The 27,925-nt window shown below is 48.2% G+C and overlaps 1 protein-coding gene across 1 annotated transcript in view, besides 5 other annotated features; it reads left to right on the top strand.

Moving 5' to 3' along the window:
- MAPK1 (mitogen-activated protein kinase 1) overlaps positions 1-4,823 on the top strand; it is a 108,024-nt gene extending 103,201 nt beyond the window's left edge. The window contains exon 9 of the mRNA NM_002745.5: positions 240-4,823. The gene's annotated coding sequence lies outside the window, so the exon portion shown is untranslated. The remainder of the gene's footprint in view (positions 1-239) is intronic.
- Positions 5,535-5,981: a silencer, noted in NCBI's record as "fragment chr22:22112788-22113234 (GRCh37/hg19 assembly coordinates)". NCBI's record gives its function as "represses an EF-1alpha promoter that drives an FKBP-Casp9 reporter gene in an ReSE screen in HepG2 liver carcinoma cells {active_cell/tissue: HepG2}" and the evidence as "EXISTENCE:reporter gene assay evidence [ECO:0000049][PMID:32094911]".
- Positions 7,866-7,965: an enhancer, noted in NCBI's record as "active region_18707". NCBI's record gives its function as "activates an Ori minimal core promoter by ATAC-STARR-seq in GM12878 lymphoblastoid cells {active_cell/tissue: GM12878}" and the evidence as "EXISTENCE:reporter gene assay evidence [ECO:0000049][PMID:35858748]".
- Positions 9,400-9,469: an enhancer, noted in NCBI's record as "active region_18706". NCBI's record gives its function as "activates an Ori minimal core promoter by ATAC-STARR-seq in GM12878 lymphoblastoid cells {active_cell/tissue: GM12878}" and the evidence as "EXISTENCE:reporter gene assay evidence [ECO:0000049][PMID:35858748]".
- Positions 9,850-9,979: an enhancer, noted in NCBI's record as "active region_18705". NCBI's record gives its function as "activates an Ori minimal core promoter by ATAC-STARR-seq in GM12878 lymphoblastoid cells {active_cell/tissue: GM12878}" and the evidence as "EXISTENCE:reporter gene assay evidence [ECO:0000049][PMID:35858748]".
- Positions 17,310-17,479: an enhancer, noted in NCBI's record as "experimental_63007 CRE fragment used in MPRA reporter constructs". NCBI's record gives its function as "activates a minimal promoter by MPRAs in K562 erythroleukemia cells, with activity observed for both the introgressed and non-introgressed 22:22101375 variant alleles {active_cell/tissue: K562}" and the evidence as "EXISTENCE:reporter gene assay evidence [ECO:0000049][PMID:34662402]".

Genomic DNA, 27,925 nt, shown 5'->3' with positions numbered 1-27,925 from the left:
GAGTGAGGGCTGACCCTGGCCCCTTCAGAACTGCCATGTGTTATCCTTGCCCAAATGTGTCCAAAGAAATGGCCATTTTGCAGGAGTCTTTTTTCCCTTTTCTGTTTTCATAATGCTATTGCTGCTGCTGCTGTTTTAATGTGGTTCACTGTTGTCACTTTTGTGTTTTGTGATGCTGATGATGATGCTGTTTTCACATGGCTCACTCTTAACTCAGTGGTCTGTTTGTGTTTCTATAGGACAAGGGCTCAGAGGACTGGACGTGCTCAGACATCGGTGTTCTTCTTCCCAGTTCTTGACCCCTGGTCCTGTCTCCAGCCCGTCTTGGCTTATCCACTTTGACTCCTTTGAGCCGTTTGGAGGGGCGGTTTCTGGTAGTTGTGGCTTTTATGCTTTCAAAGAATTTCTTCAGTCCAGAGAATTCCTCCTGGCAGCCCTGTGTGTGTCACCCATTGGTGACCTGCGGCAGTATGTACTTCAGTGCACCTACTGCTTACTGTTGCTTTAGTCACTAATTGCTTTCTGGTTTGAAAGATGCAGTGGTTCCTCCCTCTCCTGAATCCTTTTCTACATGATGCCCTGCTGACCATGCAGCCGCACCAGAGAGAGATTCTTCCCCAATTGGCTCTAGTCACTGGCATCTCACTTTATGATAGGGAAGGCTACTACCTAGGGCACTTTAAGTCAGTGACAGCCCCTTATTTGCACTTCACCTTTTGACCATAACTGTTTCCCCAGAGCAGGAGCTTGTGGAAATACCTTGGCTGATGTTGCAGCCTGCAGCAAGTGCTTCCGTCTCCGGAATCCTTGGGGAGCACTTGTCCACGTCTTTTCTCATATCATGGTAGTCACTAACATATATAAGGTATGTGCTATTGGCCCAGCTTTTAGAAAATGCAGTCATTTTTCTAAATAAAAAGGAAGTACTGCACCCAGCAGTGTCACTCTGTAGTTACTGTGGTCACTTGTACCATATAGAGGTGTAACACTTGTCAAGAAGCGTTATGTGCAGTACTTAATGTTTGTAAGACTTACAAAAAAAGATTTAAAGTGGCAGCTTCACTCGACATTTGGTGAGAGAAGTACAAAGGTTGCAGTGCTGAGCTGTGGGCGGTTTCTGGGGATGTCCCAGGGTGGAACTCCACATGCTGGTGCATATACGCCCTTGAGCTACTTCAAATGTGGGTGTTTCAGTAACCACGTTCCATGCCTGAGGATTTAGCAGAGAGGAACACTGCGTCTTTAAATGAGAAAGTATACAATTCTTTTTCCTTCTACAGCATGTCAGCATCTCAAGTTCATTTTTCAACCTACAGTATAACAATTTGTAATAAAGCCTCCAGGAGCTCATGACGTGAAGCACTGTTCTGTCCTCAAGTACTCAAATATTTCTGATACTGCTGAGTCAGACTGTCAGAAAAAGCTAGCACTAACTCGTGTTTGGAGCTCTATCCATATTTTACTGATCTCTTTAAGTATTTGTTCCTGCCACTGTGTACTGTGGAGTTGACTCGGTGTTCTGTCCCAGTGCGGTGCCTCCTCTTGACTTCCCCACTGCTCTCTGTGGTGAGAAATTTGCCTTGTTCAATAATTACTGTACCCTCGCATGACTGTTACAGCTTTCTGTGCAGAGATGACTGTCCAAGTGCCACATGCCTACGATTGAAATGAAAACTCTATTGTTACCTCTGAGTTGTGTTCCACGGAAAATGCTATCCAGCAGATCATTTAGGAAAAATAATTCTATTTTTAGCTTTTCATTTCTCAGCTGTCCTTTTTTCTTGTTTGATTTTTGACAGCAATGGAGAATGGGTTATATAAAGACTGCCTGCTAATATGAACAGAAATGCATTTGTAATTCATGAAAATAAATGTACATCTTCTATCTTCACATTCATGTTAAGATTCAGTGTTGCTTTCCTCTGGATCAGCGTGTCTGAATGGACAGTCAGGTTCAGGTTGTGCTGAACACAGAAATGCTCACAGGCCTCACTTTGCCGCCCAGGCACTGGCCCAGCACTTGGATTTACATAAGATGAGTTAGAAAGGTACTTCTGTAGGGTCCTTTTTACCTCTGCTCGGCAGAGAATCGATGCTGTCATGTTCCTTTATTCACAATCTTAGGTCTCAAATATTCTGTCAAACCCTAACAAAGAAGCCCCGACATCTCAGGTTGGATTCCCTGGTTCTCTCTAAAGAGGGCCTGCCCTTGTGCCCCAGAGGTGCTGCTGGGCACAGCCAAGAGTTGGGAAGGGCCGCCCCACAGTACGCAGTCCTCACCACCCAGCCCAGGGTGCTCACGCTCACCACTCCTGTGGCTGAGGAAGGATAGCTGGCTCATCCTCGGAAAACAGACCCACATCTCTATTCTTGCCCTGAAATACGCGCTTTTCACTTGCGTGCTCAGAGCTGCCGTCTGAAGGTCCACACAGCATTGACGGGACACAGAAATGTGACTGTTACCGGATAACACTGATTAGTCAGTTTTCATTTATAAAAAAGCATTGACAGTTTTATTACTCTTGTTTCTTTTTAAATGGAAAGTTACTATTATAAGGTTAATTTGGAGTCCTCTTCTAAATAGAAAACCATATCCTTGGCTACTAACATCTGGAGACTGTGAGCTCCTTCCCATTCCCCTTCCTGGTACTGTGGAGTCAGATTGGCATGAAACCACTAACTTCATTCTAGAATCATTGTAGCCATAAGTTGTGTGCTTTTTATTAATCATGCCAAACATAATGTAACTGGGCAGAGAATGGTCCTAACCAAGGTACCTATGAAAAGCGCTAGCTATCATGTGTAGTAGATGCATCATTTTGGCTCTTCTTACATTTGTAAAAATGTACAGATTAGGTCATCTTAATTCATATTAGTGACACGGAACAGCACCTCCACTATTTGTATGTTCAAATAAGCTTTCAGACTAATAGCTTTTTTGGTGTCTAAAATGTAAGCAAAAAATTCCTGCTGAAACATTCCAGTCCTTTCATTTAGTATAAAAGAAATACTGAACAAGCCAGTGGGATGGAATTGAAAGAACTAATCATGAGGACTCTGTCCTGACACAGGTCCTCAAAGCTAGCAGAGATACGCAGACATTGTGGCATCTGGGTAGAAGAATACTGTATTGTGTGTGCAGTGCACAGTGTGTGGTGTGTGCACACTCATTCCTTCTGCTCTTGGGCACAGGCAGTGGGTGTAGAGGTAACCAGTAGCTTTGAGAAGCTACATGTAGCTCACCAGTGGTTTTCTCTAAGGAATCACAAAAGTAAACTACCCAACCACATGCCACGTAATATTTCAGCCATTCAGAGGAAACTGTTTTCTCTTTATTTGCTTATATGTTAATATGGTTTTTAAATTGGTAACTTTTATATAGTATGGTAACAGTATGTTAATACACACATACATACGCACACATGCTTTGGGTCCTTCCATAATACTTTTATATTTGTAAATCAATGTTTTGGAGCAATCCCAAGTTTAAGGGAAATATTTTTGTAAATGTAATGGTTTTGAAAATCTGAGCAATCCTTTTGCTTATACATTTTTAAAGCATTTGTGCTTTAAAATTGTTATGCTGGTGTTTGAAACATGATACTCCTGTGGTGCAGATGAGAAGCTATAACAGTGAATATGTGGTTTCTCTTACGTCATCCACCTTGACATGATGGGTCAGAAACAAATGGAAATCCAGAGCAAGTCCTCCAGGGTTGCACCAGGTTTACCTAAAGCTTGTTGCCTTTTCTTGTGCTGTTTATGCGTGTAGAGCACTCAAGAAAGTTCTGAAACTGCTTTGTATCTGCTTTGTACTGTTGGTGCCTTCTTGGTATTGTACCCCAAAATTCTGCATAGATTATTTAGTATAATGGTAAGTTAAAAAATGTTAAAGGAAGATTTTATTAAGAATCTGAATGTTTATTCATTATATTGTTACAATTTAACATTAACATTTATTTGTGGTATTTGTGATTTGGTTAATCTGTATAAAAATTGTAAGTAGAAAGGTTTATATTTCATCTTAATTCTTTTGATGTTGTAAACGTACTTTTTAAAAGATGGATTATTTGAATGTTTATGGCACCTGACTTGTAAAAAAAAAAAACTACAAAAAAATCCTTAGAATCATTAAATTGTGTCCCTGTATTACCAAAATAACACAGCACCGTGCATGTATAGTTTAATTGCAGTTTCATCTGTGAAAACGTGAAATTGTCTAGTCCTTCGTTATGTTCCCCAGATGTCTTCCAGATTTGCTCTGCATGTGGTAACTTGTGTTAGGGCTGTGAGCTGTTCCTCGAGTTGAATGGGGATGTCAGTGCTCCTAGGGTTCTCCAGGTGGTTCTTCAGACCTTCACCTGTGGGGGGGGGGGTAGGCGGTGCCCACGCCCATCTCCTCATCCTCCTGAACTTCTGCAACCCCACTGCTGGGCAGACATCCTGGGCAACCCCTTTTTTCAGAGCAAGAAGTCATAAAGATAGGATTTCTTGGACATTTGGTTCTTATCAATATTGGGCATTATGTAATGACTTATTTACAAAACAAAGATACTGGAAAATGTTTTGGATGTGGTGTTATGGAAAGAGCACAGGCCTTGGACCCATCCAGCTGGGTTCAGAACTACCCCCTGCTTATAACTGCGGCTGGCTGTGGGCCAGTCATTCTGCGTCTCTGCTTTCTTCCTCTGCTTCAGACTGTCAGCTGTAAAGTGGAAGCAATATTACTTGCCTTGTATATGGTAAAGATTATAAAAATACATTTCAACTGTTCAGCATAGTACTTCAAAGCAAGTACTCAGTAAATAGCAAGTCTTTTTAAATGCTGCTTTATTTCACTAAATTTTGTTGTGAGGTGTCACTAAAATGCCTGCAAACAAACGTAACTGCTAATCTGAGAGGAAACCCTCTTACTAATCAGAGAAGAAACCCTCCTGTCAGAAACCTTCAGGGAAGTGAGCTGATCACACCTAAACTGGGAGTTTGCAATGGGGTATTTGAAGCACTGTGGGAGTATTCCACTGGCCCTCTCCCTGAGAGACTTAACAGTCTTCCCTGTTGTCCAGATTCTGTATAAGGCAATCAGAATAATCATCTTCCTTGTTCAGCAGAGGAGCCTGGTCCCATTTTCCCCACTTTGTGATGGGCTTCTCTCAGCGGTAGCTCAGCAGTTCCAGATGGCAGTTTGGACCAGCATCTAGGCTGGCCAGTTCGCTGTGTTTACTTAGAACCAACACGTTCAGAGCTGGCCTGGACCATCTGAGGGGAACAGGAAACACCCCTAGGCTGTGGAAGCAAGTGCAGACCCCCACCCCCGGCCCTGAAGCCAAGGGGGCAGGGTTTGGGAGTGGCCAAAGAGAAGCAGTGCAGGGATGGGTTTTCCTAGGGACAGGCTTAGCATTCCTGACTCTAGGAAGAAGGAGCAGTGAGGCGGAGAAACAGTGGAGGGGATGGTGGCATTGGGCCCCATGGGGCCGAGATGGACACAGGGCTCGTTCTCTTGAGTCTGGTGCCAAGGACAGCTGAAGACGACATCATTTTCAGGTGGAGAGGAGAGAGTGGAGGGAGATCATGCCCTGTGATGTGTCTTTTGCAGGTGAAGGTGGGAGACAAGGTCTCTGCTGACGATGAGGCAGAGCCACCGTGAAAGTTGTAATAGGAGGACTGCCCGCCGCTGGAAGGGCCTGCAGTGACGCTAGGACACCCTCTGCCTGCATGTCACGTTAGCTGGGCTGGGCGAAGTAGAAGACCAAGGGGAAGAGGTGCAGTGGGGAGACCAGGTGGGATGCAACCACAGGACCAGTGGAGGGGCTGTGGCACGTGGGCGGAGACTGAGTGGCTGGGCATGTGTTGTGGCTGAGCATGTGGTGTGGGCAGTGGTCCTAGACCCCGCCATGTCCGGACAATGATATAGAGCGTCTCAGCATCGCCAGTCTAGACTGTCTATGGAGAGCAGAAAGTTGTCTGGGGCTGCCTGGGGAACTGTGAGGCCAGCTATATCACCGTCGCTGATGGTGACATTACGGTGGTGGCAGGAGCAAGGAGAGAGGGAAGAAGGACCCCGTCCAGCTTTAGTCACAAAATACCCAATGGAAGATGCCAGTGCCAATCCTGTGGGTTTCCTTGGGACTTCACACTGGCTTTCTTATCTGCTCCAGATCCATTCAGTAGTCACTGAGTTCCTGCCAAATACTTTGTAGCGCCAGAAGCCAGGAGCGGGGTCTGCAGCAGGGCAGTCCCCATTTTCAGGAAATGCCTGGAGCTGCTGGTCCCTGAGAGAAAGGAAAACATCTTTCAGCCGTACGCAGGCCAAGAAGGCCAATGTCCAGTAGCTTTGTGATTTTTTTTATATTTTTTTATTTATTTATTTTTGAGATAGAGTCTTGCTCTGTCGCTCAGGCTGGAGTGCAGTGGCGTGATCTCCACTCACTGCAACTTCCGCCTCCTGGGGTCAAGCAGTTCTGCCTCAGCCTCCCGAGTAGCTGGGATTACAGGCACACGCCACCACACCCAGCTAATTTTTGTGTTTTTAGTAGAGACGGTTTCACCATGTCGGCCAGGCTGGTCTCAAACTCCTGACCTCAGATGATTCAGCCTCCCAAAGTGCTGGGATTACAGGTGTGAGCCACTGCACCCAGCCTGTGATGTTTCTGTGGGGTTCCACAAATGTGTGTGTGTGTAAAAGCTGATGATTACAGCAAGAATGTGAACAGTAGCAGTTTTCCATTTGAAGGCAAGTTTTGTCTTTATCTGGGTATCAGAAGGACCCTCTGGGCCATTGTCGCTTCCTGTACTCAGAGCCACCCTAGTACTACGGGCACACACAGAAAACAGCAGCCTGCGTACTTTCAAAGGAAAGGCATCTTTAATCACCAATGCCTGGAAAAATTATTTTGTTTCCCTCTTCCTTCCGTCTTGTTTCCTAACTTCTTACCAAAGTTTAGAGTCTGAGTTTTTCGTATAATAATGTCCCACATCCACACATCGGGCCTACAGATGCTCTCCCTTGAATCGACTGGAAACATGACACCGGTTCCATGCTCTGGAACTGTCACCTGTGATGTGCTGGGCTGTGTCCCAAGCACAGGAATCCCAGCAGTTTCAGCTCGATGCAGAACCACCATGCTCCAGACACAGGCTTGGGAAAGACACGTCAAAATTAAAATACTAGGTAAGAGAAGCACCTGATTGGGTAGAAGTTGGAGAGGAATCCTGGAATTTTGTGGCCAGAAGGAGCCACTGCCCCTTTTGTTTAGTAAGACTAGACAGTAACAGAAGCCAGTTGTCAGCTATGAAAGTGGTGGGTGAAGCAGGGGAGGCTCCTCTATGGTGGGACCCTGGACAAGGGAAGCCGAATGTGTGAAGAAGGGGTGCGGGGGTGTGCGGTGCCCTAGGACACTAGGGCAAAGGTTTCAAACCTGGAACAAGGCACTGGAGGAAGATCTGCTGCCAGTCAGCAGTGCGGGCCCTCGAGTTAGCAGTCCGTGCGCAGAGGGGCCAGTTCTGAGACCAGTTTGGAGAGTCAGGCAGTGACCCATTGGCCATGTCATAATTCCTTCAGCCTGCCTCCTCTTTAATCCCAGAGAGTGCTCTTTCTTCATACTTCCTTTAAAATACTAAATTGTTCCCATTCCATGGGGAGCTGGCTAGGCTTTACAGGCTAGGAAATGTAGGTTTTCTGAGATGGAACCATCTACACAAGGAGGAGGAAGGCACTAAGACTACAGATGAGACCCATGACAGGGCTGAGCATTTGGAAGCCAACCCTGGTTGCTTTTCAAGAATTGCTTTGTGGCTGGGTGCAGTGGTTCACACCTGTAATTGCAGCACTTTGGGAGGCTGAGGCAGGTGGATTGCTTGAACCCAGGAGTTCGAGACCAGCCTGGGCAACATATGGGACACCCCACCGCCCCCGGCTCTGCAAAAAAATTAAAAATTAGCCAGGCGTGGTGTCATGAGCCTGTGGTCTCAACTACTCAGGAGGCTGAGGCTGGAGGATCGCTTGAACCTGGGAGGTCAAGGCTCCAGTGAACCATAATTGTGCCACTGCACTGCAGCCTGGGCGACAATTTGTTTTCTAAATTGCTTTTGAAAGTCTACTGCATTACATATTCCAAAAAGCAGTGGTTTTCAAATACTTTTATCACCGATATCCTTTTATGAAATGAAATCAGTAGAACTTTCTCTGCTCTGAATAAGCAAGGGTGGGAACCTGTCTACCTCCCACAGATAGCATAATGTGCCTGCCATAGAGGAGCCAAAAAATGGTGATGGGAACTGAGAGGAGAGCAAATGTCACAAAAGACTGAGCAATTGAGAAAACAAAACAAGACCACAGATGACTGTTAACGCCTCCACAGTGGACCAAGAAAGGACAGAGAGCTGGCAGCATGGGCATCACTGTCTGGTCGGCAGCAGGAAGGCCTCGCTAGGGAATTGAGTACAGTCATCTAACTAGTTTAAAAGTACAGGAAGGATGATTAAGGCTATTGGAGAGGTCATACAAATAGGGGAGGGGCAGGCAATGGCTGATAAGACATGAATTTGTAAGGCGATGAGTATTGCAGTCAGCAAAACAAACGAGACTGCTCTCCCAACACATAACTCAGCAGGGAGGCCAGGCATTGGTTTAACCATTTAATATAAAGAAGTTAAAATTACAAATGCGCTAAGTGCCTAAAGAAGAATAAGTGCAGGAATGAGAGCAGCATGGACTGCCACAGTTTTAGAATAAGCACTGTCACTGCTAGATTGGAAACAAAAATCCATAAATTTGGCCCGGTGTGGTGGCGGACGCCTGTAGTCCCAGCTACTTGGAGGCTGAGGCGTGAGAATCGCTTGAACCCGGGAGGCGGAGGTTGCAGTGAGCCGAGATGGCGCCACTGCACTCCAGCCTGGGCGTCAGAGTGAGAACTCTGTATCAAAAAATAAAAATAAAAAAAAGTCCATAAATCTGCAATGTCTCAGTTAAGAAAGAAAGACTGGGCCAATGCAGATTTCAAACCGGAGAAAGTCATACTGTCAGTGAAGGCCGCCTGTGGCCGGAAGGCGCCAGGGGATTAGCACCCTGGACTCAGTGTTGCTGGGAAACAGGGCCCCAAGGCTGGGAGCACAGTGTTTAAAGGGCATCTACCCAAGAAGGGAGCACAGGGCAAGGAGGAGCTGCAGGGGGGCTTGGCTGCCAAAGTGAATTCTGAGGAGAGAGCTATTGCTGCCTACGATATGCAGGCTGCACAGAACACAAGTGGAATCAGCAGGCAGGAGAGGCAGCTAACGACGCAGCCCGTTTCTTATTTCTGTTTTCTCACAAGCGATGAAAGTGGAAAAGAGGGTGAGCAGGTGGCCCACACATGTGCCTCCAGTGCTGCGGCCCCTCCGGGGACCATCAGCCAGGCCCCGGGGAGGGAGCCAGCCACAGTGTGTCCGGCTCTTCTCTGAAGGGAAGAGAGCCTTGAATAGACTGAAGCGAAGACGGTTCTGCAAGGACAAGGCAGACCGAAGGCATTGGTTTTTTTTTTCAGATAAGGAGAATTAGACTCCCAAGTAGACACCAGAGTCACTGTTTGGTTGGTGGGTGATAGTGGGGTCACAGTGGCTGCCTGTGCTCCCCCAGGGTGAGCGTGACTGTGCTAACCTGGGTGGGGCAGCATGCACACCCCTCTGGCAGCCCTTTGTTGCTCGCTGATGACAAGTTTGGATGATCCCGCCAAACAGCTTGCTAAGATGTAGTCCCCAGTGTTGGAGGTGGGGCCTGATGGGAGGTGCTACCCTTGTGAGATAAGGTTGTGTAAAAGCCTGTGGCACCTCCCCACACTGACGCTCTCACCCCTGCTCTGGCCATGTGCCGCGCCTGCTCCCACTTCCCCTTCTGCCAGGAGTAAAAGCCCCCGAGACCTCCCAGAAGCCAAGCAGATGCTAGTGCCATGCTTCCTCTGCAGCCTGCAGAACTGTGAGCCAATTAAACCTCTTTTCTCTATAAATTATGCAGTCTCAGGTATTCTTTTATACCAACACAAGAACAGCCTAACACTCACATATCCGACGTTGACACGAAACCGACTCAGGGTTAAGTGTATACACAAGCTCCCCTGTTTTAAGAAGGTGCTATCATTGGCAGGGCGCGGTGGCTCACACCTGTAATCCCATCACTTTGGGAGGCCGAGGCAGGCGGATCACAAGGTCAGGAGTTTGAGACCAGCCTGGCCAATATGGTGAAACCCCACTTCTACTAAAAATACAAAAATTAGCCAGGCATGGTGGCTTGTGCCTGTGGTCCCAGCTGCTCGGGAGGCTGAGGCAGGAGAATTGCTTGAACCCAGGAGGTGGAGGTTGCAGTGAGCCGAGGTTGCGCCACTGCACTCCAGCCTGGGTGACAGAGCGAGACTCCGTCTCAAAAAAAAAAAGAACGTGCTGTCATCAAAATAGGCACCACCTGAGATCAGAGAACACAGAGTTTCCCCTGGCAAAAGGAGCTCCAAAGGGAAGACAGACACACCCAGCCACCCAGGCTGGCCATATCTGGGCACTGGAGGAAGTGTCCCGGCAGCAAGGGCTCTGGTGACTGCTCTGTGAGGATTCCTCGTGGCTGAGACGTTGGCCCGGCCCCACCTTGGCACAATCTAGTTGGAGCATCCACTAGATGCTCCCATGAGCTGTGCAGCCCAAGGTTGAGGTCAGAGATAGCAAGGCCACCTGGGTGACAGCATGGTCTGCTGCATGCCACGCCCCTCCCCTCTTTGTCTTTGCTTTGTGCTTTCTTTTCCTAGGAGGTGGCAGGTGTACATTTCTGGCTCTGAGCCCATGTCAGACCCCCAAAGGAGCCCCCACTGTCCTGATCCCCTGCACGGCACCCCACCACAAGCAGCAGGCACACGTGGTGGGAATCAGGTAACGCAGTTCCCCCGGGAAGCCCCTTCCATGGAAGACCACTCCTGCTGCTGCAGCCTGCTGGTCCTGTGCCCTTTCAGGATCAGCCCTTCGACCCCAGCCAAGGGCCCTGGCCAGGCCTCCACTGCCGGCCCCAAGGCTTAATGCACAGCATGTGCCTGCCAGATCTGACTCCAGAGGATGGAGGAAAGGCCCAAGACCACACAGCCCTGGGCCACAGCAGAGAGCAGGACACTCCTGGTGTGCAGGAGAATTTCCAAGGTGCAGCACCTCTTGACAGATACACCAGGAGGTTTAATACTTTGTATTACCTTGGTAACCAGAGAAGAGGAATCATTAAAACTCGAAAATAGTGCTGTGTGCTGTGCAGTGGCTCACACCTGTAATCCCTGTGCTTTGACAGGCCAAGGTAAGAGGATCTCTTGAAACTAGGTGTTCAGAGCCAGCCTGGACAACACAGGTTGTATTTACCTCTACAAAAAATAATGAAAAAAAAAATTAGCCAGGTATAGTGGCGCATGCCCGTGGTCCCAGCTACTGGAGAGGCTGAGGCAGGAGGATCACTTGAACCCAGTGGTTCAAGGCTGCAGTGAGCTATGATCGCACCACTGCACTCCTCCTGGGCAACAGAGCAAGACCCACTCTCTTTAAAAGAAAAAATGCCATGTCAGCCAGCAGTGGGGAGGCTACATGCAGGTGCCGAGAACTCCAGGACGTTTCTGTCCACAGAAATCTTTCATTTTACCTCCTGCCATTGATGCTTTCATCTGTTCACTCTGCACAAGTAGACCTTGCACTGCATTTACGAATGTTTGGCTCTCCAGGACTGTAATGTTAAATCTTGAAGGTTGTAATTAACATTCCATTGTCAGGATCGTCTCAGATCACTGGAAGCCCATGTCTCTCCTTGGCCATGGTTATCAAACTCCTCTTAGACAAGTCCTGACCCCTGTGAGGCCCCCGAAGCCTCTCTCTTCAGCAAACCTGGTCATTCCTCCCCTCTTGCTCATCTCTCTATTTTTAAAGTAGATTTTACTCTTTTAGTACCGCTTTTTACAGAGTAATTAAGCAGATAGTACATGGAGTCCCACACACCCACCCCTGCACCATCAGCACACCTATCCCCCGCCAACCCTTGACAGCCATGCGGCTTTTTACTGTTGCTGTGGTTTTGCCTTTCTAAAATGTCATGTAGTTAGAACAGAATGTGTCATTTTCAGACATCTTTCAGCCATATGCAGTCAATATTCCACCATGTCTGTTGGTGGCTACATAGCTCATTTCTTCTTATCACTGAATAATATTCCATTGTATGGATATACCACTGATTGTGTCTCCATTCAGCTATCAACGTCTCACTTGCTTCCCAGTTTTGGCAATTATAGATAAAGCTGCTGTAAACATCCATGTGCAGGTTTTTGTGTGGACTTAAGTTTTCAACTCATTTGACATGACTCTACCAGGCCCAGATGTTTTAAAGAGGAAATATCAGCCGGGCGCGGGGGCTCACGCCTGTAATCCCAGCACTTTGGGAGGCCCGGCGGGGGCGGATCACAAGGTCAGGAGTTCGAGACCAGCCTGGCCAAGATGGTGAAAGCCTGTCTCTACTAAAAATACAAAAATTAGCCGGGCGTGGTGGCAGGTGCCTGTCATCCCAGCTACTCAGGAGGCTGAGGCAGTAGAATCACTTGAACCCAGGAGGCAGAGGTTGAAGTGAACTGAGATGGCACCACTGCACTCCAGCCTGGGTGACAGAGTGAGACTCTGTCTCAAAAAAAAAAAAAAAAAAAATCAATTCTCTACAATCTCTTCCAGAAAATAGAAACAGAGGAATCACTCATAACTCATTCTATGATTGCCAGCATTACCTTAATCCCAAAACCAGATAAAGATGTTATATAGGCTGGGCGCAGTGACCACGCCTGTAATCCCAGCACTTTGGGAGGCCGGGGCAGGTGGATCACTTGAGGTCAGGAGTTCAAGACCAGCCTGGCCAACATGGTGAAACCCCGTTTCTACTAAAAAGTACCAAAAAATTAGCTGTGCATGGTGGCACATGCCTGTAATCCCAGCTACTTGGGAGGCTGAGGCAGGACAATCTATTGCACCCAGGAGGTGGAGGTTGCAGTGAGCCAAGATCACGCCATTGCACTCCAGCCTGGGTGACAGAGCGAGACTCTGTCTCAAAAAATAAATAAATAGGAAAACTATGGAGCAATATCTTTTCATGATCATAGATGCAAAAATGCTCAGTAAAATACGAGCAAATAGAAACCAACAATGTATAAAAAGAAGTATAGGTCTTGATCAGGTGGGATTGATTCCTGGTATGCAAATCTGGCTCAACATTCAAAAATCAGGCCAGTTTTACAGGCTCACACTTGTAATCCCAGCATGTTAGGGCTGAGGCAGTCAGATCACTTGAGCCCAGGAGTTTAAGACCAGTCTGGTCAATGTGGCAAAACCCCATCTCTACAAAAAATATACAAACAGCCAGGCATGGTGGCCAGTGCCTGTGGTCCCAGCTCCTCGGGAGGCTGAGGTGGGAGCAACACCTAGGCCCAGGAAGTCAAAGCTGCAGTGAGTGGTGACGGCAAAACTCCACTTCTGCCTGGGAGACAGAGTGAAATCCTGCCTAAAAAAAAAAATCAGGGCCGGGCACAGTGGCTTATGCCTGTAATCCCAGCACTTTGGGAAGCCAAGGCAGGTGGATCACCTGAGGTCAGGAGTTCGAGACCAGCCTGGCCAACATGGCAAAACCTCGTCTCTACTAAAAATACAAAAATTAGCTGGGCGTGGTGGCACGCGCCTGTAATCCCAGCTACTCGGGAGGCTGAGGCAAGAGAATCACTTGAACCCAGGAGGTGGAGGTTGCAGTGAGCCGAGATGGCACCATTGCACTCCAGTCTAGGCGACAAAGCGAGACTCTGCCTCAAAAAAATAAATAAATAAATAAACTATGATCATCACATCAACAGGCTAAAAAAGAAAAATCATATATGATCAGATAGATTCAGAAAGAAGCCAGGCATGGTGGCTTGCAACTGTACTCCCTGCTACTCAGAAGGCTGAGACAGGAGGATCACCTAAGCCCAGGAACTTCAGACCAGACTCAGCAACAAAATCTGACATCCATTCATGGTAAAAACTCCCAGCAAATTAGAATAGAGAGGAACTTTCTTAGCTTGATAAAGAACATCTACAAAACACCCACAGCTAACATACTTAATGGTGAAAAACAAGAAGTTCACCCTCTACAATTGGGTGTCCCCTCCCACCACTCTGATTATACATAGTATTGAAAGAGAAAAACCACCATCCTAGTATATTGTGTCCAATGAAACTGTTTTTCATAATGGAGATAAAATAGCTGGGCATAGTGGTTCACGCCTGTAATCCCAGCACTTTGGGAGGCCAAGGCAGGAGGATTTCTTGAGGCCAGCAGTTTGAGACCAGCCTGGGCAACAAAGTGAGACCTGCCTCTACCAAAAAAAAAAAGAAAAAGGAAAAAAAAATCTCAGCTTGGTTCCACAAGCCCTGTAGTCCCATCTACTTAGGAGGCTGAGGCAGGAGGATCACTTGAGTCTAGAAGTTCAAGACTGCAGTGAGCTATGATGGCACCACTGTACTCCAATTTGAGTGACAGAGGAAGAGCCTGTCTCAAAAACAAAACAAGGCCAGGTGCGGTGCCTCACACTTGTAATCCCAGCACTTTGGGAGGCCGAGGCGGATGGATCACCTGAGGTCAGGAGTTCAAGACCATCCTGGCCAACATGGTGAGACCCCGTCTCTACTAAAAATACAAAAATTAGCTAGGTGTGGTGGTGGACACCTGTAATCCCAGCTTCTTGAGAGGCTGAGGCAGGAGAATCGCTAGAACCCAGAGGCGGAGGTTGCAGTCAGCCAAGATCATGCCATTGCACTCTAGCCTGGGAGACAAAGTGAGATTCTGTCTCAGAAACAAAACAAAACAAAATGCCAGGCACAGTGGCTCACTCCTATAATCCCAGCACTTTGGGAGGCCAAGGTGGGAGGATTGCTTGAGTCTAGGAGTTCAAAGTTGCAGTGAGCTAGGATCGTACCACTGCACTCCACCCTAAGCCACAGAGCAAGCCCCTGCCTCTAAAATATAAATACTTTATTAGACAAGCAAAAACAGAGGGAAATTGTTGCCAGTAGCACTGCTTTATAAGAAATGTTAAAATAAGATCTTTACCAGCCTGGGCAACATTGTGAAACCCCATCTCTACAAAAAATACAAAAATTGGGCATGGTGGCTCACACCTGTAGTCCTAGCTACTTCGGGGCTGAGGCGGGAGGATCACTTGAGCCCTGGAGGCAGAGGTTGTAGTGAGCCGTGATTGCACCACTGCACTCCAGCCTGGGTAATAGAGTGAGGCCCTGTTTCAAAAAAAAAAAAAAAAAAAACTTCTTGAGAGGGAAGGAGAATGGTATAAGATAGAAGCTCAGATCTACATAAACATTTTAAATCCCTGCTCCTCTCTTAAGGCTTCCATTTTTCTGCTTACATCACCCATCTGTTCTTGCCTGTCCCACTTTTTCCATTAGCGCCCTTAGCATACTAATCCTAGGTATTTTAAATTCTCAGTCTGATCATTCCGAAGTCTCTGACATCTGAGTCTGGCTCTGTCAGTTGCTTTGTCTCTTCAAACTGTGTTTTTTTCTTATCTTTTAGCATGCCTTACAATTTTTTGTTGAAAGATGTGATCTTTTGGGTAATAACACTGAGGTGGATAGGCCTTTAGTGTGAAGTTTTTCTGTTTTTCTGGCTAACAGGCTGTGTTTTGCTGTAGATGTCAGAGACTAAAATGTTCTTCAGTGTCTTTGTTTCTCTTTCCCCTATTGTCTTTGTTTTTTCCCTGGAGACTTTTTCTTAAGTGGAGCCTGAGCCTTGGGTTCTTTCAGCAGTGACCCTCTGTATTTTGCGGGAGCCTTGCAGTTGGGGTGCCAAGGTGTGGACAGAGGGGAAGCGCTCTGGAATCCCATGATTAGCTGTCAGTCTTTTAGTAAGCCTGTGTCCCTGGGCTGTGACCTTCACAGGTGCATCTCAGCTTTTTTTGCCCTCTTGGGTAAGTCACAAGGGCCAGCAAGAACCAGAGGGTGTATCCCTTCCCCCGTGTTGGGTAAGGCTCTGGGAGGTCTTCTCTCCTGCTGGCTGGTCTTTGTTGTTGAGAACACTCTAGGAACAATTCAAAATGGTTGCTTTTCCCTTCTCCCTGGTCAAACACCAGGGATTTCCCTCCATTCTTCACTATGAGAACCTGGTGGGGCCCCTTGGAGGTAAAACCAACAAAAGTGTGAGAGTCCCCCTTAGACTGGATCCCCATGAGGTTGTTGGGTGTTTTTGTTTTTGTTTTGAGACGGAGTCTCTCTCCATCACAGTGCAGTGGCACAATCTCGGCTCACTGCAACCTCCGCCTCCCGGGTTCAAGCAGTTCTCCTGCCTCAGCCTCCCAAGTAACTAGGATTACAGGCACCTGCCACCACACCCGGCTAATTTTTGTATTTTCAGTAGAAACGGGGTTTCACCATGTTGGCCTGGCTGGTCTCAAACTCCTGACCTCAAGTGATCCACCCACCTCAGCTTCCCAAAATGCTGGGATTACTGGCGTGAGCCATGGCGCCTGGCCCCCGCAATGAGTTTTGTTTTTGTTTTTGTTTTGAGACAGAATCTTGCTCTGTCGCTCAGGCTGGAGTGCAGTGGTGCTATCTCGGCTCACTGCAAGCTGCACCTCCCGGGTTCACGCCATTCTCCTCTCTCAGCCTCCGGAGTGGCTGGGACTACAGGCTCCCGCCACCATGCCCAACTAATTTTTTTGTATTTTTAGTAGAGACGGGGTTTCACCATGTTAACCAGGATGGTCTGGATCTCCTGACCTCGTGATCCACCTGCCTTGGCCTCCCAAAGTGCTGGCATTACAGGCATGAGCCACCGCGCCCAGCCCCAATGAGTTTTTAACTCTCAAACTCATACAAAATCCGGCCATTCATCTAAGTTGCCATTTAAGGGGTCCTTTAAATCTTCCCCCCAGCTCCTGGCCCTGGTGGTGTCTGCTTCCAGCAAACTGTGATTTCTGGCCTTTGCCTGTCTCTCTGGCTTTTGGGGTGGTGGCTTGTCCTATGGCCTCAGTTCTCTGATGGATCTAAGAAAACCATTGACTTTTCACTTTATTCAGTTATGTTCTTGATGTAAGGGCAGGAGCGATGACTTCACATGTTGGAACTGAAACTGGAAGTCACCCCCATTCCCATACCTGTTACCCAATGCGTTTCCTAACAGATGAATCCAGAAGGTCAGGGTATTCGCTCACTAGGTGTGCTTGGAGAAACCATTAATCCAGTGTCTTGGACAAACCAGAGGACTAGAGGAATATCTTGTATCTGATTTCACATATGCCAACAATGACCACAGTACAGAGGGCCGGGGGCCTGGGGACATATCTGTTGTGAGTGGCCAATAAGAAAAGTCCATTCCAAAACATGTAAAGAATCATGAAACTACAGACACCTTGCCTCCTCCCCAACTGATGGTCAGTGAAAGAAAACTGTCTGCTTACATGAGGAAAGCATCCACTGTTGGTAAACAGGGAAACGCAAATTAAAGATGAAGTGCCATTTTGTATATACCTTACTTTGGTTTTCAGCAAAAGAGAACTTATAAAAGCCAAATGTCCAGCACTTTGGGAGGCCAAGGCAGGAGGATCACTTGAGACCAGGAGTTCAAAACCAGCCTGGGCAACATGGCAAGCCCCGTTCTACAAAAAAAAAGAAAAAAAAAATTTTGTTTTAAATTAGCCAGGCATGGTGGCACACACCTATAGTCCTAGCTACTTGGGAAGCTGAGGCAGGAGGATCACTTGACCCAGGATGTCAATGCTGCAGTGAGCCAGGATCAAGCCACTGCATTTCAGACTGGGTGACAGAGTGACACCCCATCTCTAAAAATAAAAAATAATAATAAAATAAAAATAACCGCCAAATGCCATAAAGGTATAAAGAAATCCATCCCCTTTAGCGTTGTTAACAGCACCGTAGAGGAATACAGTGGGATCTGGAAGATGGAACCGGAGCTAACAAGAAGATGAGTTTGGCTCCGTCATTCCATTCCTGAGATTTTTTTTCTCTTGACAAAAATTCAAGAGGAAACAGCCACATATACAAAGATGTTTATACCAGCATTATTTATAATAGCAAAAATAAGGTGAGTAGCCTTCAATGCCCACATGCCAGCATGAGGGAATGGTCCAGCAAACTTAGCAAGTAAATGCGGCAGTCACTGAGTGTCTCCACATTACCATCCATGCTTCCATCCTCCCTGCGCCATGCAAACGCTAGTCACACGTGTGAATGAGGTAGCCTGTCCACTCCTCTGAAGTTTCATCACCCCGTGTCTTGCCCCACTTGCCAGGAAGTTCCTGGGAAGCACAGTGTATGGCCTGTTCACTCTGGCCTGCCTGGCACCTACCTCAGCCCCTGGTACCAAGAAAGGCTCCGAAGGACAGCTGACACTTAAAATGTGAGCCACAGACCAGCACCATTGTCATCACGTGGTCGTAAATGCAGACTCTCTGTGGGGAGGGGGACATGAGGAGTTGTTATTTAATAGTTACAGTTTCCATTTTGCCATATGGAAAGTGTTTTGGAGATTGGATGTGCACAGTGTGAACACATTTAACGCTGCTGAACTGTACACTTAAAAAAGGCTTAACGTGGGCCAGGTGCAGTGGCTCATGCCTATAATCCCAGCATTTTGGGAGGCCAAGGCAGGACGATTGCTTGAGCCCAGGAGTTTGAGACCAGCCTGGGCAACATAGGGAGACCCCATCTCTACAAAAATAAAAATAAAAAATTAGCTGGGCATAGTGGCACGGACCTGTAGTCCCAGCTACCCGGGCGGCTGAGATGGGAGGATTGCTTGAGCCCGGGAGGTCAAGGCTGCAGTGAGCAGTGATTGCACCTCTGCACTCTGGCCACAGAATGAAACTTCATCCCTTAAAAAAAAAAAAAAAAAAGTCTAAGATGGTAAATTTTATGCTATGTGTATTTTACCACAATTTAAAATAATGGGCTGGATACAGTGGCTCACATCTGTAGTCCCAGCACTTTGGGCGGGTGGATCACTTGAGTCCAGGAATTTGAGAAAAGCCTGGCCAACATGGCAAAACCCCATCTCTACAAAAAATGCAAAAAAAAATAGCCAGGTGTGGTGGTGCACACCTGTGGTCCCAGCTACTCAGGAGGCTGAGGCAGGAGGATCACTTGAGCCTGGGAGGCGAAGGTTGCAGTGAGCGGTGATTGTGCCACTGCACTCCAGCCTGGGCAACAGAGTGAAACCCTGTCTCAAAAATAAATAAATAATACAATACAATACAATGCAGAATCTTTTTTTTTTTTTAAGACAGAGCCAAGATTGCACCACCCAGGCTGGCATGCAGTGGCGCAATCTCCACTTACTGCAACCTTTGCCTCCCAGGTTCAAGCAATCCTCATGTCTCAGCCTCCCGAGTAGCTGAGGAGACCACAGGTATGTGGCACCATGCCTGGCTAATTTTTTTGTACTTTAGTACAGGCGGGGCTTTGTCATATTGGCCAGGCTGGTCTCGAACTACTGACCTCAAGTGATCTGCCCACCTTGGCCTCCCAAAGTGCTGGGATTACAGGCGGGATTACCGTGCCCGGCCTAAAATGCAGAATCTCAGGCCACACCCCAGACTTACCATTTTAGCAACCACATTTTAACAAAATCCCCAGGTGATTCACGTAAGTTTTGAGAAGGCCTGCACATTGGGTGTATAGCTACTCTGTTTTTGTTTGTTTGTTTGCTTGCTTTTTGAGATGGAGTCTGGCTTTGTTGCCCAGGCTGGAGTGCAATGGCACAATCTCAGCTCACTGCAACCTCTGCCTCCTAGGTTCAAGGGACTCACCTGCCTCAGCCTCCTGAGTAGCTGGGATTACAGGCATGCACCACCAAGCCCGGCTAATTTTTGTATTTTTAGTAGAGATGGGGTTTCACCATGTTGGCCAGGCTGGTCTTGAACTCCTGACCTCGTGATCTGCTCACCTCAGCCTTCCAAAGTGCTGGGATTACAAGTGTGAGCCACTGCGCCCAGCTGCTACTCTTAAAATATTGTTTAGGTTCCCATCATGAGTCAACTCTTTCTAATGAACACATATGTTTTGTTTTTCTCCCTCACTGTGGGAGGCTGGTCCTTATCTTCTCTTGGACTCCTTCGTTTGCACGAAAAATGGAGAAATCAAGTGGCAGCTGGCAGACTCCAAGGACAGCACAATGCCATGGCAACCGCTTCCATCAATAACTTAATTTCATCTCTGCTCTTACATCTTTCTCTCCTCAGTTCTAAAGCTGGAAAATTTTTAATTTGGAAAGAACATAAGACGGCTTGTGGTTGCTATGCCAACAGCACCTGCCTGCTTCCTAATGGGCTTTCCAATCATAAAGGAAAGTCTTAGCAAGTCACAGAACTTTAGACTCCAGGGGCTCTGGAGGGCACTCCGCACAGCACGGCCTCTCACTTGGCCGAGGAGACCACTGGCACCCAGGAGGTTAAGTTCCCTGTCTGTCCACAGCAATTCTACTAGCCCGCGCTGAAGTTACACCAAGGCAAGCAGCTTAATTTTGGCCAACCCGAAGGATTTAGGCAGGATTTGGGTGGAAGGCAGGCTGGGCGACCCTTGAGGAGAGTTGCTGTAAGTATCTTTCTACCCCCAAAATCCAGTATATTAGTCAGCTTGGGCTGCTGTAACAAAGTACCACAGACTGGGCGGCTTGAACAGCAGGAATTTATTTTGTCATAGTCCTGGAGGCTGGAAGTCCAAGGTCAAGGCATCAGAAGGGTTTGTTTCTTCTGCAGCCTCTCTCCCTGGCTTGTTGATGGCGTCTTCTCCCTGTGTGCTCACATGGTCATACCTCTGTGCGTGTCTGTGTCCTAATCTGTCTCTCTCTCTCTTTTTTTTTTTTTTTAAGATGGAGTCTCACTCTGTCATTCAGGCTGGAGTGCAGTGGTGCGCTCTCGGCTCACTGCAGCCTCTGCCTCCTGGGTTCAAGCAATTCTCCTGCCTCAGCCTCCTGAGTAGCTGAAACTACAGATGCGAGCCACCACGCCCAGCTAATTTTTGTATTTTTAGTAGAGACAGGGTTTCACCATGTTGGCCAGAATGGTCTCAATCTCCTGACCTTGTGATCCACCCGCCTTGGCCTCCCAAAGTGCTGGGATTACAGGCGTGAGCCACCGCATCCGGCCAATCTCTCTTTTTCTTTTTAAGAGACAGGTCTTGCTCTGTTGCCCAGGCTGGAATGCAGTGGCACAATCATAGCTCACTACAGCCTTGAACTCCTGGGCTGAAGCCATCTTTCCAACTTAGCCTTCCAAGTAGCTGGGACTACAGGCATGTGCTACACACCCAGCTAATTAAAAAAAAAAAAAAAGCCAGGTATAGTGGCTCACACCTGTAATCCTAGTGCTTTGGGAGGCTGAAGTGGGAGGATCACTTGAGCCCAGGAGTTCAAGACCAGCTTGGGCAACATAGAAACTTTTTTTTTTTTTTTTTTTTTTTGAGACAGAGCTTCCCTCTGTCGCCCAGGCTGGAGTGCAATGGCACTATCTGGGCTCATTGCTACCTCTGCCTCCCAGGTTCAAGCAATTCTCGTGCCTCAGCCTCCTAGGTAGCTGGGATTACAGATGTGCACCACCACGCCCGGCTAATTTTTGTATTTTTAATAGAGAGAGGGTTTCACCACGTTGGCCAGGTTGGTCTCAAACTCTCTACCTCAGGTGATCTGCCCACCTTGGCCTCCCAAAGTGCTGGGATTACAGGTGTGGAGCATGGTGGTGCCTGCCTATAGTCCCAGCTACTTGGTAGGGTGAGGTGGGAGGATCGCTTGAGCCCAGGAGGCTGAAGCTGCAGTGAGCCATGATCGTGCCACTGCACACCAGCCTGAGCAACAGAGCAAGACCCTGTGTCCAAAAAAAATAATTTGTTTTAGAGATGGGGGTCTCCCGACTGGCCCTCTCAAAGAGCTGGGATTAGAGGTATAAACCACCATGTCTTGCCTAATCTCTCTCTTTTTTTTTTTTATCTGGAGTCTCGCTCTGTTGCCCAGGCTGGAGTGCAATGGCACAATCTCGGCTCACTGCAACCTCCGCCTCCTGGGTTCAAGCGATTCTCCTGCCTCAGCCTCCCAAGTAGCTGGGATTATAGGCGCCCACCACTACACCCGGCTAATTTTTGTATTTTTAGTAGAGACAGGGTTTCACCATGTTAGTCAGGCTGGTCTCGAACTCCTGACCTCAGGTGATCTGCCGGCCTTGGCCTCTCAAAGTGCTGGGATTACAGGCATGAGCCACCATGCCCAGCCACCTAATCTCTTTTTATAAGGACACTAGTCATATTGGTTAAGGTCCAACCTCATGACCTTAATGTTTTCTTTAAATACTTTCTCTCCAAATGCAGTCACATGTGAGGGACACAGTCAGCCTGTAACACCCAGTCAGACAGGATCCCCTAAGGAGTCTTCAGCCTCCACTGTGTCTCAGCCCTCAGGCGGGTCTGGTTCCACCTCATCAGTCAACACATGCTGTCATTCTGTGCAGGGCTGCAGAGCCTGTGATGGGCACCGACCCTGCAGCAATTTCATGGGCTCCATATTCCTATCCATGCCTGGAATAGGTAGCCTGGTCTGTTCACCCATGTTGGGCTTCGAGTGGATAACCACACAGCCTGCTGGCTGGCGGCTGTTTTTCGATACCGGGGAACACTGTGGGGCAACTCCCTGGTACAAATCTATTTTCTCAGCTCTGGACTTTCACTGAGCCACTGCTGCTATCCCTCAGTCCTGCCTCTTCCCAAGAAATGCTGCCCTGGAAGGAGCTGGGCACCTGGAGGAAGGCTGGCATTTCCTAAGCATGGACCGTGCCTGGCATCTTGGGTCTTAGTTAATCCTCAGCCATCCTGCCCAGTGGCTGTCAGTGACACTCTCAGCACCAGCGATCGGCCGAGAACACACCAAGGCCTCTCCCCAACCCCTGCTCGCATCCTGGGGAGGGGAGGAGAGACGACAATAACCAAGCGAAGGGGAAATATACAGACCAATGCAAGGAGAAGAGAGCATGGAGGGTGCAGTCCTGAGTGTGCAGAGAGAGGGCCCCTGGGACCAGGATGCTGACAGAAGAGGAGCCTTGCAGGGAAGGGAACAGCAAGGGCGTGGGAGCGTCCTGAGAGCAGTCCATGGGGGGACGACAGAGCAAAGGGTTTCTCCTTGCCCAGGGAGAGGGCTGGCCTGCGCACCTGCTTCTGGGAGCTGATCACCAAGTCCTGGAGGTGTCTTGCCAGAGGGAAGTGGCGCTTCGGGTCACACCGAGAGACTGGAGTCTGAGCTCCTCCTCCTGGGCCATCACCCACGCCTATGTGGAGACCCAGTACAAACTCTGGGCCCAGCGCAGTGGCTCACACCTGTAATCCCAGCACTTTGGGAGGTCGAGGTGGGAGGATCACTTGAGGTCAGGAGTTTGAGACCAGCCTCGGCGACATGGTGAAACCCCCGTTTCTACTAAAAAAAATAAAAATAAAAAAAATTAAGGGGGCGTGGTGGTGGGCGCCTGTAACCCCAGCTACTTGGGAGGCCAAGGCAGGAGAATTGTTTGAACCCAGGAGGTGGAGGTTGAAGTAAGCCGAGAGCACACCATTGCATTCTAGCCTAGGCAACAGAGCAACTCCGTCTCAAAAAACAAACAAACAAACAAACAAACAAAAACTTTGTGCTTTGTAGTTGGCTAAACTCTTGCAGGGGCAGTAATAGGAAATGGAGGAGGAGAGAGAGGAAGGAGCCAAATCGCTTCAGCCCATTAATGAACTCTAGCTTTTACCTGGGGCTTTCGAGGAGGTATACATCTGGCTTTTGTTCTCAAAGAATCAGTCAGTGAAGAATAAAGTTAAGGAGGCAAAGTTTGTAATTTGGAGGCGACTTGAGCAATAACAATAATCTAGACAAGAGATGAGAGTGGCTCAGGCCCTGGGTGCTGGTGACAGCAGTGGAAGCCTGGGAACTTGCTGAGGGATTGGACCTGGGATGTGAGGGAAAGAGAGGGGTCAAGGAGGACTCTGAGGATTTGGCCTGTGCCTGAAAAATGGCAATGCCCTTAATTGAGCTGGTGGAGACAGAGGCTTGGTTTGGTATGTGTTGAGTTTAAAGTGTAGACCTCCAAGTGAGACTGCGAGTGGGCAGCTGTAGGTGAGAGCTCGGGGGTCAGAGGAGGGTTTGTGCTGAGGAACACACTTTTTTTTTTTTGAGACAGAGCCTTGTTCTGTTGCCCAGGCTGGAGTGCTCACTGCAGCCTCAACTTCCCAGGTTTAAGCGATCCTCCCTCCTGAGCCCCCCAAGTACCTGGGACTACAGGCGTGTGGCCACCACACTTGGCTAAACACACACACACACACACACACACACACACACAGAGAGAGAGAGGAGGTTTTACCATGTTGCCCAGTCTGGTCTTGGGCTCCTGGGCTCAAGGGATCCACCTGCCTCAGCCTCCGAAAGTACTGCCATTATAGGCATGAGCCACTGTGGTTGGTGAGGAACACACTTGATCAGTAGCAGGCTCCATGTGGTCTTCCACTGCCAATGAGCTTGGTGGAGATCACCTGTCAGGCCAGTGGAGGGAAGGGAGGAGACCTAAGGGCTGAACTTTTGGGGCCTCCAACATCAGGAGGGTGAGGGCAGGTGGGGAAATGGAGGCTGGTGAGGAAGAGAGTGGAGCCCCAGAATCTAAGTGAAGAAAGTGTTTTTAAAAAGCGCCCCACTGTAGGAAATGCTAGTAGGACCATCCAGTAAGGTATAGGCTGAGCCCAGATGTGACGACATGATGTTTTGCGACATGATGTTGGAGCGGTTGGGATGGAACCCTGAGAATGGGAGGTGGGCATGGGAGGCGCCCAGGCCAGGCCCTTCTGTGTCATCTTGCCCTGAAGAGTTGCAGAGCAGGTGGGCATAGCCAAAGAGGGTACGTGGAGCTGAGAGCACGGCTCCTACCCTGATGGGGCAGCCCAGTAAGCCGTGGGGGGCAGGACTAAGGGCGAGCCACGTGTTCATGGCAGCAGGCAGGGCAGATGTTTAGGATGGGATGTTTAGCAGTGGGGGCAGGGAGGAGTCCTCTCCCATCTCTATGTTCTCTGTAAAGTTGGACACAGAGTTAGCAGAGGGGAGGAGGCATGATATCATCTTCCAGGATGGTGGAACCTGCACAGACCCGGAGGTGCAGCAGGCGGAGGGTTTTCAGGAGGACTAGGCTTCCCTAGAAACTGGTGTCCCCAAAGTAAGCAGCCAGCTGCAGTGGTGCGTTTCCCAGTTGGGGGAGGGGGCTGAATTTCTCCAGGACAGGCGAGGGTGGGGTGTGGGAAAGGGGTTAGGGAGGAAGTGGGCATGGGGGAGGGCAGCCCCCAGTGGGAGGGCATGCTGAGGCATGGAGCTGGGACGCTAAAGGGAGGGAGCCCTGGAGCTTGAAGGTGGTGTTCCTGAGTGGGCTGTGGGAAAGTGGATTATAAATGGTGCGACCACAAGGCAGGCGGGGGTGGCAGGCTGCAGGCCTGGCTGATGGTGCTGCCCAAGGCCACCCAGAAGGTCGTGCCTGGGATTTTGTTAATAAAAACAGAGGAGGATAGAAATGTTAGGGCATTGCCCAAAATAAATAAGAGTATGTATTAAATCATGAAACTTTTTGTTCATCCAAATGTGTACTAGATCACAATGTAGACTTTCTTTTACTACTTTTATTGTGGTAAAATATACATAACAAAATTCACCATTTTAACTTTTTTTTTTTTTTTGAGACAGAGTCTCACTGTGTTGCCCAGGCTGGAGTGCAGTGGTTCCATCTCGGCTCACTGCAACCTCCAACTCTTGGGTTCAAGCGATTCTCTTGCCTCAGCCTCTGAGTAGCCGGGACTACGGGCACACACCACCACGCCCAGCTAATTTTTTTTGCATTTTTTTTTTTTAGTAGAGACGGTGGTTTCACCATGTTGGCCAGACTTGTCCTGAACTCCTGACCTCAGGTGATCTGCCCACTTGGGCCTCTCAAAGTGCTGGGATTATAGGCATAGCCACCACACCCGGCCCATTGTAACAATTTTAAGGGTGCAATTCAGTGGCATTCACATTGTTGTACAGCCATTCCCACTACCAATTCCAAATTTTTTTATCACCCCAAACAGAAACGTTGTACAGATAAAATGAAATAGGTCATGTGGTCACGTGGTCATAGTTAACAACACTTGACGCCACCAAGTCCGCGGAAAGATGCTCAACACCACTAATCACGAGGCAAGTGCAAACCAAACCCATCATGCACCAGGCTGGCCACTGTCAAAAAACAGAAAATAACAGTTGGTGAAGATGTGCAGAAACTGGAAGCCTTGTACACTGTTGGAGAGAATGTGAAATGGTGCAGTTACGTTGGGAAACAGTATGTAATCGCCTTAAAAAATTCAACATAGAACTACCATATGATCCAGCAACTTCACTTCTGGGTATATACCCAAAATAATTGGAACCAGGGGTGCCAAGGGATGTTTGTACCATCAAGTTCATAGTGGCATTATTTACAATAGCTAAAGTATGGAAGCAGCAAGCCAGGTGTCCACTGACAGATGCGTGGAGAAACAAAATGTGGTATCTACATACAATGGAATATCATTCAGCCTAAAAAAAGGAAGGAAACTGTGACAGTGCTACACCATCGGTGAACCTTGCAGACATTATGCTAAGTGAAATGAGCCACAAAAGTCACAGTAAGCCACAAAAAGACAAATACTAGATGATTTCACTTATGTGAGGCACCTAGAGCAGTCAAGCTCATAGGGACAGAAAGTAGAATGGGGTGGTGCGGGGCATGGGGTAGAAGGAAACGGGAGTCATTGTTTCTTGAGTCCAGAGCTTTACTTAGGCAAGATGAGTTCTGGAGAGGGATGATGATGATGGTTGCACAACATTATGAATGTATTTAATACCAGTGAACTGTACACTTTAAAATAGTTAAATGGGGCCGGGCGCGTGGGCTCATGCCTGTAATCCCAGCACTTTGGGAGGCCGAGGCAGGCGGATCACTTGAGGTCAGGAATTCGAGACCAGCCTGGCCAATATGGTGAAACCCCGTCTCTACTAAAAATACAAAAATTAGCCGGGCCTAGTGGCGGGCAACTGTAGTCTCAGCTACTGGGGAGGCTGAGGCAGGAGAATCGCTTGAGCCCAGGAGGAGGAGGTTGCAGTGAGCCAAGCTCACACCACTGCACTCCAGCCTGGGCGACACAGCGAGACTCCTGTCTCAAGGAAAAAAAAAAAAAAAAAAAAAAAGGCAACATCCAGCCACAATCTAAGTTATGAGTCAGGTGTACATTTAGCGACTTGAAGAGATCTTTACATACACAGTGGGTTGCAGAAAACAAGAGAATACGTCCAGAGGACGCTGATAACAATGTTATATACATTGTGACCTCAATAGAGGTTTTGTTGTTTTCTTGGTTTTTTTCTTTTCTTTTTTTTTTTTTTTGTTCAAGAGGAAGGGTCTCGCTCTGTCACCCAGTCTGGAGTGCAGTAGCGCGATCATGGCTCACTGAGGCCTCGACCTCCTGGGCTCAAGTGATCCTCCCGCCTCAGCCTCACAGGTAGCTGGGACTACAGGTGTGCACCACCATGCCTAATTTCTTTCTTTTTTTTTTTTTGGTACAGTGTCTCACTATGTTGCCCAGGCTGCTCTTGAACTCCTGGGCTCAAATGATCCTCCTGCCTCGGCCTCCCAAAGTACTGGAATTACAGGCGTGAGCCACCACACCCAGCCTTCAAATATATATATTCAAATAATACATATCTATTTTCAAATAATATATATTTTTTTAAAGAAGGGATACGGAACCAAGAAAACAGTGACATTAGAGGCGTGGGGGTGGCGCAGGCTGCCGGGGCGTCGGGAGCACTACCCAGAGGAAGGGGCTTTCTGTAGGG

The sequence above is a fragment of the Homo sapiens genome, chromosome 22 (genome assembly GCF_000001405.40).
Source record: "Homo sapiens chromosome 22, GRCh38.p14 Primary Assembly".
Lineage (NCBI taxonomy): Eukaryota > Metazoa > Chordata > Mammalia > Primates > Hominidae > Homo > Homo sapiens.
The sequence above is the reverse complement of the archived record's forward strand: the minus strand, read 5'-3'. Positions and strand labels throughout refer to the sequence as shown.